This window comes from Homo sapiens, chromosome 16 (genome assembly GCF_000001405.40).
Source record: "Homo sapiens chromosome 16, GRCh38.p14 Primary Assembly".
NCBI lineage: Eukaryota > Metazoa > Chordata > Mammalia > Primates > Hominidae > Homo > Homo sapiens.
In genome coordinates this window covers 23,317,510-23,329,580 of record NC_000016.10, presented here as the reverse complement: position 1 = coordinate 23,329,580, position 12,071 = coordinate 23,317,510, and the positions used below count along the sequence as shown (strand labels likewise).

At 47.1% G+C, this 12,071-nt stretch overlaps 1 protein-coding gene across 4 annotated transcripts in view; it reads right to left on the bottom strand.

Moving 5' to 3' along the window:
* SCNN1B (sodium channel epithelial 1 subunit beta) overlaps positions 1 to 12,071 on the bottom strand; it is a 103,064-nt gene that overhangs the window by 51,714 nt on the left and 39,279 nt on the right. Inside the window, exon 2 of one of the 4 annotated variants that reach the window (XM_011545913.3) lies at positions 6,003 to 6,027. The exons of the other annotated variants lie outside the window; for them this stretch is intronic. Within the exon in view, the coding sequence (XP_011544215.1) occupies positions 6,003 to 6,027 (25 nt within the window). The remainder of the gene's footprint in view (positions 1 to 6,002; positions 6,028 to 12,071) is intronic. 4 annotated transcript variants of the gene reach the window in all.

Below are 12,071 nucleotides of genomic sequence, written 5' to 3'. Positions count from 1 at the left end.
TGGAGAGGGCAGTATTACACCTACCTCCGAGGGTGCTTAAAACAATGTGTAGTTCACAGCACTATGGGTGCATCAGCTCTTATTAGCTGTGGTTCACTTCATTAGGCAAGTAGAAAAATTATTGTCTTCTAAATACAAAAGGAAAACTAGCGTTTAAAATAAACAGGCTGGATACAGTGGTTCCCAACTGTAATCCAAGCACTTTGGGAGGCCGAGGTGGGAGGATCGCTTGGGCCCAGGAGTTTGAGACCAGTCTGGGCAATACAGTGAAACCATGTTGGTGAAACAAAAAAATACAAAAATTAGCCATGTTTGGTGGCACACACCTATAGTCCCAGCTACTCAGGAGGCTGAGGTGAGAGGATCCCTTGAGCCCAAACCGATGAGGCTGCAGTGAGCCATGATTGCACCATTGCACTCCAGCCTGGGGGACAGAGCGAGACCCTGTCTCTAATAATAATAATAATGATAATAATAAACAAGCTAGGCATGGTGGCTCATGCCTGTAATCCCAGCACTTTGGGAGGCCGAGGTTGGAAGATCGCTTGAGCCCAGGAGTTCAAGACCAGCCTGGGCAAGACAGCGTGACCGTCTCTCTACAAAAAAAATCTTAAAAAATGAACTGGGTATGGTGGTGCGTGCCTGTAGTCCCAACAACTCAGGAGGCTGAGGTCGGAGGATCACTTGAGTCCAGGAGTTCAAGGCTGCAGTGAGCCATGATCATGCCACTGCCCTCCAGCCTGGGTGACAGAGCGAGACCCTGTCTCAAAAAACAAACAAACAAAAACTCACTTCAAAAATAAACGCTCAAGGTATAGCATGGGTGGCGAAACCACCACCCACGATTCAGAGGCATTTAACCAAATTGTTGCAGGACAGGACTTCCATGTTTGAAACTGACCTGACCCACTTCCGAATTTTAGGAACTCAGATGTTGCATCTGTGCTGACTGCCTGTTTCCAGTACCTCCTGGGTTCTTGAGTCCAGCTCATGCTTGTTAAGAAGCTCTGAGAAGCTGTCTCTGAAAACAGAGGCCTCTTGTAGCAAAGACAGACCAAAGATTGGAGTGAAAGATTGCTGGCTGTCTTTCTATTCTCAGGGACTAAGTACTTAATGCACAAGGGCTGACTTTGAGATGTACAAGGATGGACTTCGTGCCCATCATGATCTGGGCTGTCCCTGGGAACCAATTATACTATCATTTACTTAATATCTTTCTTTAAGTTGACTCACTCTTGTTTTTTACTTAAATATCTACTTTAGTTTTGTCCTAAGCAAGAATGTCCACAAAATCACAGGTTGGATGCTACTAATTATATATGTTTTCTAATACCCCTCAACATAAATAATTACTAATGAGATGAAAAGCAATTGTCTGTGCACTATCTAAAAGCCATCTGCACATGCCACTCTGCGTGGGGTGACAGATTCAGCAAAGATCCTTTCTTGTCTTGTAAACTCACCAGATTAGATAAAACACCTTCCCACTTGTGACTTAAAGACAACTGGCCCTACTGACCCCTCGGCCCCAGCTGCCATGCTTGGCGGCTTCCTTACAAGACTTGTTCTGTGGGTTTCTCCACTGCTGGCTCTAGGATGATATAGGCCTCCATCCCAGCAGCCTGACACATGTCTTGCCAACTGATCCGGAAGACCCCAAACTCTAAGACAGAAGATGTGGTCATAGCTGTGAGGAAAACCTTCCTGTTTATTCTTTTCTTTGTGAATGTCCTTTTCAAGGAAAAACAAGTGTACATCTGGCCTTTGGAGGACCCATCTTGTCATGAGGCCAGAAGGGCTCCTGGTTTGTCATTTTCTTGTTCACCTGCTAGCCAAGCACCACATTTTGGTTTGAGAGGTGACCACATTTTGCGATGGCTAAATCCTCTCTGCCCAGCTTCTCTGTATGGATACAGACACTCATGGCAAGAAACCTTAAACATGCAAGAGCAGAAGGGTTCCACAAACTACGATACAGGCACACAATGAGGTATTGGGGAGCCATTAAGAAAAATGGTTAGTTATTATTATTATTATTATCATTTTTGAGATGGAGTCTTGCTCTGCCTCCCAGGCTGGAGTGCAATGGCGCAATCTTGGCTCACTGCAACCTCCACCTCCTGGGTTCAAGTGATTCTCTCTGCTTCAGCCTCCTGAGTAGCTGGGATTACAGGCGTGCACCACCATGCCTGGCTAATTTTTGTATTCTTAGTAGAGATGGAGGTTTCACCATGTTGGCCAGGCTGATCTTGAACTCCTGGCCTCAGGTGATCTGCCTGTCTTGGCCTCCCAAAGTGCTGGGATTACAGGCGTGAGCCACCATTCCCAGCCAATTATTTTTGTTTTTTTAAAAAAACTATGTTAGGCCAGGCATGGTGGCTCCTGTCTGTAATCCCAGCACTTTGAGAGGTCAAGGTGGGAGGATCACTTGAGGCCAGGAGTTTGAGACCATCCAGGGCAATATAGCGAGATCCCACCTCTACAAAAAATAAAAACGTTAGCTGAGCATAGTGATGCATGCCTGTAGTCCCAGCTTCTTGGAAGGCTGAGGCGGGAAGATTGCTTGAGTCTGGGAGTTTGAGGCTGTGGTGAGCTATGATTGCACCACTGCACTCCAGCCTGGGCAATAGCAATAAAAGAACATAATAATCACTGGAGACTTGAGAGAGTAGGAGAGGGGTTAGGAATGAGGAATTACCTAATGGGTACGCTGTACACTGTTACACTGAAAACCCAGACGTCACCACTAGGCAGTATATCCATGTAGCAAAACTGCATTTGTTCCCCATAAATTTGTAAAAATAAAAAATAATGACTGAGTGTGGTGGCTCACACCTGTAATCCTAGCACTTTGGGAGGCTGAGGCAGGTGGATCACTTGAGGCCAGGAGTTTGAAACCAGGCTGGCCAACATGATGAAACCCTGTCTCTACTAAAAATACAAAAAAAATTAGCTGGGCATGGTGGCGCACACCTATAATCCCAGCTACTCGGGAGGCTAAGGCAGGAGAATTGCTTGACCCTGGGAGGCAGAGTTTGCAGTGAGCCGAAATCACACCACAGCACTCCAGCCTGGGTGACAGAGTGAGACTCTGTCTCAAAACAAACAAAGAAACAAAACAAAAAACAAAAAAACCATGTGGGTTTATATGCATCTATGTGCATAGGAAAAATAACACAGATGGCATTAACCAGAACGTTTATAATGATTATCTCTGGGTAGCAGGATCTTGAGTTATTTTTAAGAAATTGTTTTAGTTTATCTGTGCTTTGTAACTTTCCTACAATGAACATATATTGCTTGCATCATAAAAGTAATAAATGAGAAGATAATTTTTAATAGCAAAATGGAAAAAAGCTTATAATAGAATGCTGCTTGAAAAAAACCAGGATTCTAAGTATATGAAAAAATCTATTGTTAGGCAAAGATAGTTGTAGGGAAGCAGGAAATACAGACTTAAAAAAAAAAGTTAAGCTTCCAAGAATTTTTTTGTTTTGTTTATTTTAGAGACAAGGTCTTGCTCTGTTGCCCAGGCTGGAGTGCAGTGGTGCAATCATAGCTCACTGCAGCCTCAAACTCCCTGGCTCAAGAGATATTCCCACCTCAGTCTCCCGAGTAGCTAAGTAGCTGAGACTACAGCTGTGTGGCTTTTATTTATATTTATTTATTTATTTATTTATTTATTTATTTATTAGAGACAGGGTCTCACTATGTTGCCCAGGCTGGTCTCAAACTCATGGTCTAAAGAAATCCTTCCGCCTCGACCTCTCAAAGTGTTGAGATTACAGATGTGAGCCTCCATGTCCAGCCTCCTTCCTTGAATTTAGGTACAACCCTGGTGTAAGGATCTGGGGAGATGCTGGATGGGTTGGAATTAAGTTTCTACTATTTGGCAGAACAGGGGTTTGTATAAGAAGTTAAGATCGGATGCGCATTTCAACTTGCATTCTGATATTTGTACCTGTTTTCCAAAATTGTATTACTTTTATAGTTTAAAAAAAAATTCAAAAAAGAGGCTGGGCACGGTGGCTCATACCTGTAATCCCAGCACTTTGGGAGGCTGAAGTGAGCAGATCACTTGAGGTCAAAGGTTTGAGACCAGCCTGGCCAACATGGTGAAATCCCGTCTCTACTGAAAATGCAAAAATTAGCTGGGCATGGTGGTGCAGGAAGGTAATCCCAAAAACTCGGGAGGCTGAGGCAGGAGAGTCACTTGAACCTGGGAGGCGGAGGTTGCAATGAGCTGAGATCGCACCACCGTACTCCAGCCAGGGCGACAAAGTGAGACTCCAGACTCAAAAAAAAGAAAAAGAAAAAAGAAAAATACATAAAAGCAACCAAAAGGGAGAGCGTTCAATCAACTAGAAAAATCTGCCTTGGGTCTCTAGCAGCCTGACAACTCTTTTCATAATTTCTGGACCTGTCCTGCTGGGGATGGAGTGAACCAAAGAGGGATTTCAGAGGAGGTGGCTGCACCAGAGCTTGCATTTCCTGGATGGCTCCTTTCTCCCATACCCTTGTTGACAGAGTCTTATTGCTGTGTTTGCTTTCCTTATTGCCAGAGCACTCAGCTGCACCGGGCTTTACCCTGTATGAGTACAATTACACAGGAAAACACCCTGCCCACCAGGCCCCATGCCAGGAGCCATGTCATTGTGTCCCAATGGACAAAGAGGACTTGGGGGGGTGCCAATGGTGAGCACCTAAGCCCATCCCCAGAAATGGAAGTGGCCACTTGCCCAGGATGGGTGGTGTGTGTTGACAGCCAGCAGGGAAGAGTGTGGTCAGTTTCATCTGCTCCCTCCCTGCCAATGCTGGAGGCAACTTGGAGAGGGTAGTTTCTGCCAAGCCTTGAAAGATGCCAGGGGCGTGTGTGTGTGGGGTGGGGTAGGATGGGTAGAGGTGGAGAAGGGAGGTGGTTGTTCCATTGGGAATAAAATGCGGTATTCCAGAATAGAGTCAGAAAAATAAGGTCAACCTGATAATGTTTGGAGGCTTATGTAGGAGGACAAGCTATAGTTTCTTTTTCTCTGTTTCACTTTGAGAAACAGGAATGATCCTATTATTATTAAAAATGTGCCAGGGGCCAGTGGCTCAGGCCTGTAATTCCAGCACTTTGAGAGGCTGATGTGGGAGGATTGCTTGAAGCCAGGAGTTCCAGACCAGCCTGGGCAATATAGTGAGACCACCATCTCTAAAAGCAACAACAACAAAAAACAAAAGAAATTAGTTGGGTGAAGTGGTGCATGCCTGTGGTCCCAGCTACTTGGGAGGCTGAGGTGAGAGGTTCGCTGGATCCCAGGAGTTCCAGGCTGCAGTGATCTATGACTGTACCGCTGCACTCCACCCTGGACAACAGAGCAAGACCCTGTCTCAAAAAAAAAAAAAAAAAGTGAGCTTTTGAGTTAGACAGACTTGGGTGGCATCTTCATCCCATCTCTTACTGGCTGGGTGGCTGTGTGATCTTGGCAAAATCGCATCACCTCTCTGAGCCTCAGTTGTCTCATTTGCAAATGAGGCCAGCAATAGTACCTCCCTCCTTGCGTTTTTGTTTGGTTTTCAGTGAGGGTTAAAATGCATATAAAGCTCTCAGCATCCTGTTGAATGAAGGTTGGCTACTGTAATTCATTAGGGAGAAAGAAGGATGAAATGTGTAGGTGGTTGCTGAGTTTAGATACTTAATTGCCTTAGAAAGGACTGATGCTGGAAGGGGAATTTCCCAGCTTGGTAAATGAAAGATTCAGTCTTTGGCCTGCACTTCCCTGAGGCTTAGCTGTCTATGTCATGCTCCTGTCAGAAACTTTCAAGGGCTACTGGTGTCTATAGAATAAAGGCCCCTCAACCCTTAGCTGGCTTCTAAGACACCTTGCAACCTGGTCCCAGCCTAGATGTCTCCTTTAATTCCTTGCACTTTCCTTTACAATGGGGTAGTGGTTAAGAAGTTGGGTTCAAACCCCAGTTGGGTCACTTACTCACTGTGTGACCTTGTGGAATTTACTCACCCTCTCTGTGCCCTGGTTTCCCCATCTGTAAAATGAGGGGAAAATAGTACTGAGTTCATTGAGTTGATGTGAAGATTAAATTGTAAATATGAAGCACCTAGCACAGTGTCTGGCATGGAGAGAGATCAGTGCCTATGAGAGGCTTCTTATTTGCATATACCCATGCAACCACATGCTGGAGCCCTTGGGTACCCTGGGAATTCCCACCACCACACTTTCACTCATGCTGTTATTCAGTCCTGGAGTGCAAAACCTTTACCTCTACCCACAAATCCTCTACCTTTTTCTAGGTGCAGCTCCAGTGCCACCTCCTCCAAGAAGTCCTCTGTGAATGGAGGTCATCCTCCCTCCTCCGTAGCCCCAGTTTTTTTTTTTTTATTGAGATGGAGTTTCACTCCTGTCACCCAGGCTGGAGTGCAGTGCTGTGATCTCAGCTCACTGCAACCTCTGCCTCCCAGGTTCAAGTGGTTCTTCTGTCTCAGCCTCCCAAGTAGCTGGGATTACAGGCATGCGCCCATGGTGATGCCGAGCTAATTTTTTTTTTTTTTGTATTTTTAGTAGAGATGGGATTTCACCATGTTGGCCAGGCTGGTCTCGAAACCCTGACCTCAGGTGATCTGCCCACCTCGGCCTCCCAAAGTGCTGGGTTACAGATTACAGGCGTGAGCCACCGTGCCCAGCCCTCAGAATATTTTCTGAGGACCAATAATGTGGATGGAGTTAAGACCACTGAACTGCACACGTAAAAATGATCACAGTGTAAATTTTGCTATACACATGTATTTTCCACAATTAAGTATTTTAAAAGACATATTGAGCATTTAAAAACTCACAAATCATCTTTAATATTGATTATATGTTGAAGTAATATTTTGGATATATGGGTTCAATGAAATATATTAATAAAATTAGTTTGATCTGTTTATTTTTACTTTTTAAAATGTGGCTATGACAATTTTACATTGCTGGACTGGGCATAGTGGCTCACGCCTGTAATGCCAGCACTTTGGGAGGCCCAGGCAGGAGGATCACTTGAGGCCAGGAATTCAAGATTAGTCTGGGCAACATAGCAAGACCCTGTCCCTACAAAACATATAAATTAAAAAAAAAAATTAGCCAAGCATGGTGGTGTGCACCTATAGTCCCAGCTACTCGGGAGCTGAGGTGGAAGGATCGCTGGAACCCGGGAGGTCGAGGCTGCAGTGACCCGTGATCATGTCACTGCACTCTAGCCTAGGTGATAGAGTGAGACCTTGTCTCAAAAGAGAAAATGAAAAAAATTTTAAATTGCTTATGCCATTCCGATCTGTGGCTTGTGTTGTATGTATGTTGGATAGTGCTGACCTAGATCAATGGCTGGCACTGTAGGCACTTAAATGTGGGCTTAATACGGGAATGAATACAGTTGCAGCCAAATAGGTTCTTTTCAGGCATAAAACAAACAAACAAACAAAAACTGTTGTATCTGGAAGGCTCCAAGGGAATGGGAGAGAGTTTGTGTCGGGGCAGTTTACATAACTAAATCATCATAATTAATATCTATTATTATTATTTGAGACAGGGTCTCACTCTGTCACCCAGGCCAGAGTACAGTGGTGCTATCTTAGCTCACTGCAACGTTTGCCTCCCGGGCTCAAGCGATCCTTCCACCTTAGCTTCCTGAGTAGCTGGGACTATAGGTGCACACCACCATGCCCAGCTAATTATTGTATTTTTTCTGTAGAGGCAGGGTTTTGCCATGTTGTCTAGGGTGATCTCAAACTCCTGGACTCAAGCGATTCTCTTGCTTCGGACTCCCAAAGCGCTGGGATTACAAGTGTTAGGCACTGCGTCTGTCCAATATCTATTATTACGCTGATGATAGCAGCCACCGTCCGCGGAGTACCTAACGTGCCAGGAACTGTCATGGCACTTTAAGCCATCATCTCATTTAATCCTTGAGTCAATGCTCCGGGGGGTCATTGCCTCTGCAGCATAGACAGCTGCCCAAGGTCACTCTGCTGGAGAGCAGAGAGCAAGGGTTTGCCTGAAGGCCTGTCCAAGCCTCCTAATACCCCTGCCTTTCCCAGGGTCCAGGCTCTGTGTGCTGTCTTGTCCTATGGGACTTGATGGCCCTGCCTGGGATGGACAGCAGACACCAGCCCTGCTCACACCCCCACTCACAGGCGGGGCCTTCAGAGGAACAGGGAGCCCCAGCCAGAGGCAAGCAGATGATGCTGTTGAGAGTCCAGGAAGGAGGCCAGGCGTTGTGGCTCATGCCTGTAATCACAGCACTTCGGGAGGCTGAGGCAGGTGGATCACTTGAGGGTAAGAGTTCGAGATCAGCCTGGCCAACATGGTGAAACCCAGTCTGTACTAAAAATTCAAAAATTAGCTGGCCATGGTGGCACACCCCTGTAGTCCCAGCTACTTAGGAGGCTGAGGCAGAATAATCACTTGAACCCAGGAGACGGAGGTTGCAGTCGGCTATCATACCACTGCACTCCAGTCTGGGCGACAGAGCGAGACTCTGTCTCAAAAAAATAAAATAAAATAAAGTCCAGGAAGAGAATTCAGCAATTCATAATCTCTGATCTCCTTAAGCTCACTCATCTAGATCCGGCCACCACCACTCTCAAGTTCAAGGACTCTGGGAAACCGGCTGGGGCTTAGGTGGTCATTCTTGTTCAAGGCAGTTGAGGAGATGGCTCTGGGCCCAGCCTGACCCAAGAGAGGGCCCTGCCCCGTCCCTGAGGCTGCAGCAGCCACAGCTCTCTGTGGGGGTGTGGCCTTCCCCTCCCATCCCTGGGGCTCCAGGCCTGAAGCTGAAGGCCAGGGCCTACCCACGACTTCATACCTGGGGCTCAAATTTGTTTGTATAGAGGCCCACGGTGGTGTCTAATGTGAGAGCTCCTCAGAGGGGGCCTCGGCTGTAAACTGCATGGATCAGAACCCCCTGGAATGGGGAAGAGGTTTGCAACACATGGACGAGAACTTTTGCTGTCTCACAACTCCAATCATGTCTGTAAGTCATGGGTTTGAACTTGAGGAAACCCCTTGAGTCTGGTCAGAGACAGTTGACTGAAGAAGCCAACTGAGACCTAATTCCCTCAGTGAGAACTGGGTGTCAAGGAGTCTGGCCTCAGACACAGTAAAAATCCCACCTTGTGTGGACTGCGGGGCCCCCCAACCCTTGGGGAGAGTCAATGCAGAGCTGAGGGCAGTGGTTCTCCAAGTCTGGTCCCCAGATTGGCTGAAACAGCATCACCCGAGAGCTTGTTAGAAAGGGAAATCCTCAGTCTTCCCCCGAGGCCTCTGGGTTTTAACTAGCAATCTGGGTTTTAACAGCCTTCCAGGAGGCTCTGGCCATGCTAAAGTTTGAGAACCACCAGCCCGCCACCTTACTCTTCCAAGTAGGGCATCAGAACCAGCAGCACTGGCATCATCAGCTTGTTAGAGACGCAAAAGCTGGGTCCCACTTGACCTACTGAATCAGAATCTGCATTTTAACAAGACCCCTAGTGACTCATGCGCATGTTAACATTTGAGACGTGGCCGGGCAAGGTGGCTCACGCCTGTAATCTGAGCACTTTGGGAGGCCGAGGTGAGAGGATCACTTGAGCCCAGGAATTTGAGACACCCGTCACTACAAAAAAATACAAAAATTAGTCGGACGTGGTGGCGTGCACCTGTTATCTCAGCTACTCAGAAGGCTGAGGCAGGAGAATTGTCTGAACCCAGGAAGCGGAGGTTGCAGTGAGCCAAGATTGCGCCACTGCACTCCAGCCTGGGCGACAGAGCAAGACCCTGTGTCAAAAAAAAAACAAAAAATAAAACATTTCCTAGATAATTTGATAATATGTGCAGCAGAGTTTGGGAGCCACAAAGCTAGAGCAAGAGTCAGCAAACTTTTTCGGGAAAGGGCCAGGCAGCAGTATTTTAGGCTTTCCGTGCCATACAGTCTATGTTGTGGCCACTCAATGCTGCCATCATAGTGCAAAAGCAGCCGTAGATAACATGTAAATGACTGGGCGGGCTATGTTTCAACCACACTTCACTTATGAACACTGAATTTTGAATTTCATTTGATTTCCATGTGTCATGAAATGTGATTTTTTTTTTTCAACCATGTAAACCATTCTTAACTCACAAGCTGCACAAAAAACAGCTGGTGGATCAAACACCGGCCTTTGGGCCATAGTATGCAGACTGCCAGGCTGGAGGAATTAATTGAGGGCAAGGAAGCCCAGATTGGGCTGGGCGCAGTGGCTCACACCTGTACTCCCAGCGCTTTGGGAGGCCGAGGCAGGTGGATCACGAGGTCAGGAGATTAAGACTGAGACCATCCTGGCTAACACGGTGAAACCCTGTCTCCACTAAAAATACAAAAAATTAGCTGGATATGGTGGCACAGGCCTGTAGTCCCAGCTACGCAGGAGGCTGAGGCAGGAGAATCACTTGAACCCAGGAGGTGGAGGTTGCAGTAAGCTGAGATCGCGCCACTGCACTCCAGCCTGGGCACAGAGTGAGGCTCTGTCTCAAAAAAAAAAAAAACAAAACAAACAAAACCCCCAAAAAACAAAAAACCAGATTGCAGGACTCCTCCTCCTTCCTGGTGTTTGCACACAGAATCACCCCTGCACAATCTCAGAAACCTTAGTAGCACTTGACTATGAAAAGGTTATGTTGACAAGGCCCAATCAAGTACCAGCTTGATCTGGCCCTAGGCCAAAGACTTCAGGTTGGGCCCCAAATCCTCCATGATGCTGGCAGGATTTCAGGGAGCTGCCTTCCTATGGGTGACTCTGCGCCCCACCTTTCTGGCTGGCAATTTCGTTGGCCCTTAGTGATCTTTTACTGTGCAGCAGGCACTGTGCTTAGCTTTACTCACATGATCTCATCTCCTTCTTACAGCCACTCTGAAAGACAGGGAGAGCTAGAATACACTCATGCATATTATTATAGTCTTTATTTTATTTTATTTTTTTCTTTAGACGAAGTCTCAGTCTATTGCCCTGGCTGGAGTGCCTTGGCGCAATCTCGGCTCACTGCAACTTCTGCCTCCCGGGTTCAAGCAATTCTCCTGTCTCAGCCTCCTGAGTAGCTGGGATTACAGGCGTCCGCCACCACGTCCGGCTAATTTTTGTAGTTTTAGTAGAGATGGGGTTTCACTATGTTGGCCAGGCTGGTCTCAAACTCCTGACCTCAAGTGATCCATCAGCCTCGGCCTCCCAAAGTGCTAGGATTACAGGCATGAGCCACTGTGCCTGGCCGCATATTAGTATACACCTGTTTTTTAGACGAGGAGATGGAAGCACAGAGAGGTCAGGTGATTTGCCCAAATCACACAGTGAGAGTAAGTAGCAGAGCAAAATTGAAACCGTGTCTGTTTGCTCCAGAGTCTGCTCTCATAACCACTTTGCTATATTGCCTCCTGATAATCTATATTAAGGACAATCAATAATCCACCACCATCACCAGTCACCACAATGCCCAGACACAATCTTCTCCAGAACAAGCCTTGGGCAGCAAACCTGGGCCGTTTGCCTCTTGATTGGCATTTACACTCAACCTTTCTCTGCCTTGAGCTGCAGCTGGAGCTGAGGCACTCAAAACAGTTCTGTACCTTCTGCAGGAAGAAGGAGGCTGGCAGGGCAGCCCTGTGTGGTTGTGCAGACTGTGCCCTATACAACTCCAAGAAGCATCCTTCATCATGTGTGTAGTCTGTGTGATTGACAATGACATCCCTGGAGTTGGCAGCACACATACCCCACAGGCATTTGTGGCAGCCCTAGAGGCTGGAGGCAAGACACTCAGGATTCCCTGGCACAGCATTGCCCTTCGGTGCTCACCTTTACTGCTATTTAGAAGCAAATCATCAAAAAGGGAGATGAGCCCACAAGGAAATGCCATCATGCATGGTGGAGGTGTGTGCCAGCCGCTCTGGGGAACCCTTTGGGACAGGAGCAGGAAGGAGTTTTCCCTGAGAGCTCCTCCGTGCAGCCTGGAAAAGGATCCTGCTCCCTGCTCTCTCTCAGACCGGATTGGCGGCAGCATCAGCTCTGAACTCTCGACCCTGTTCCACACAAA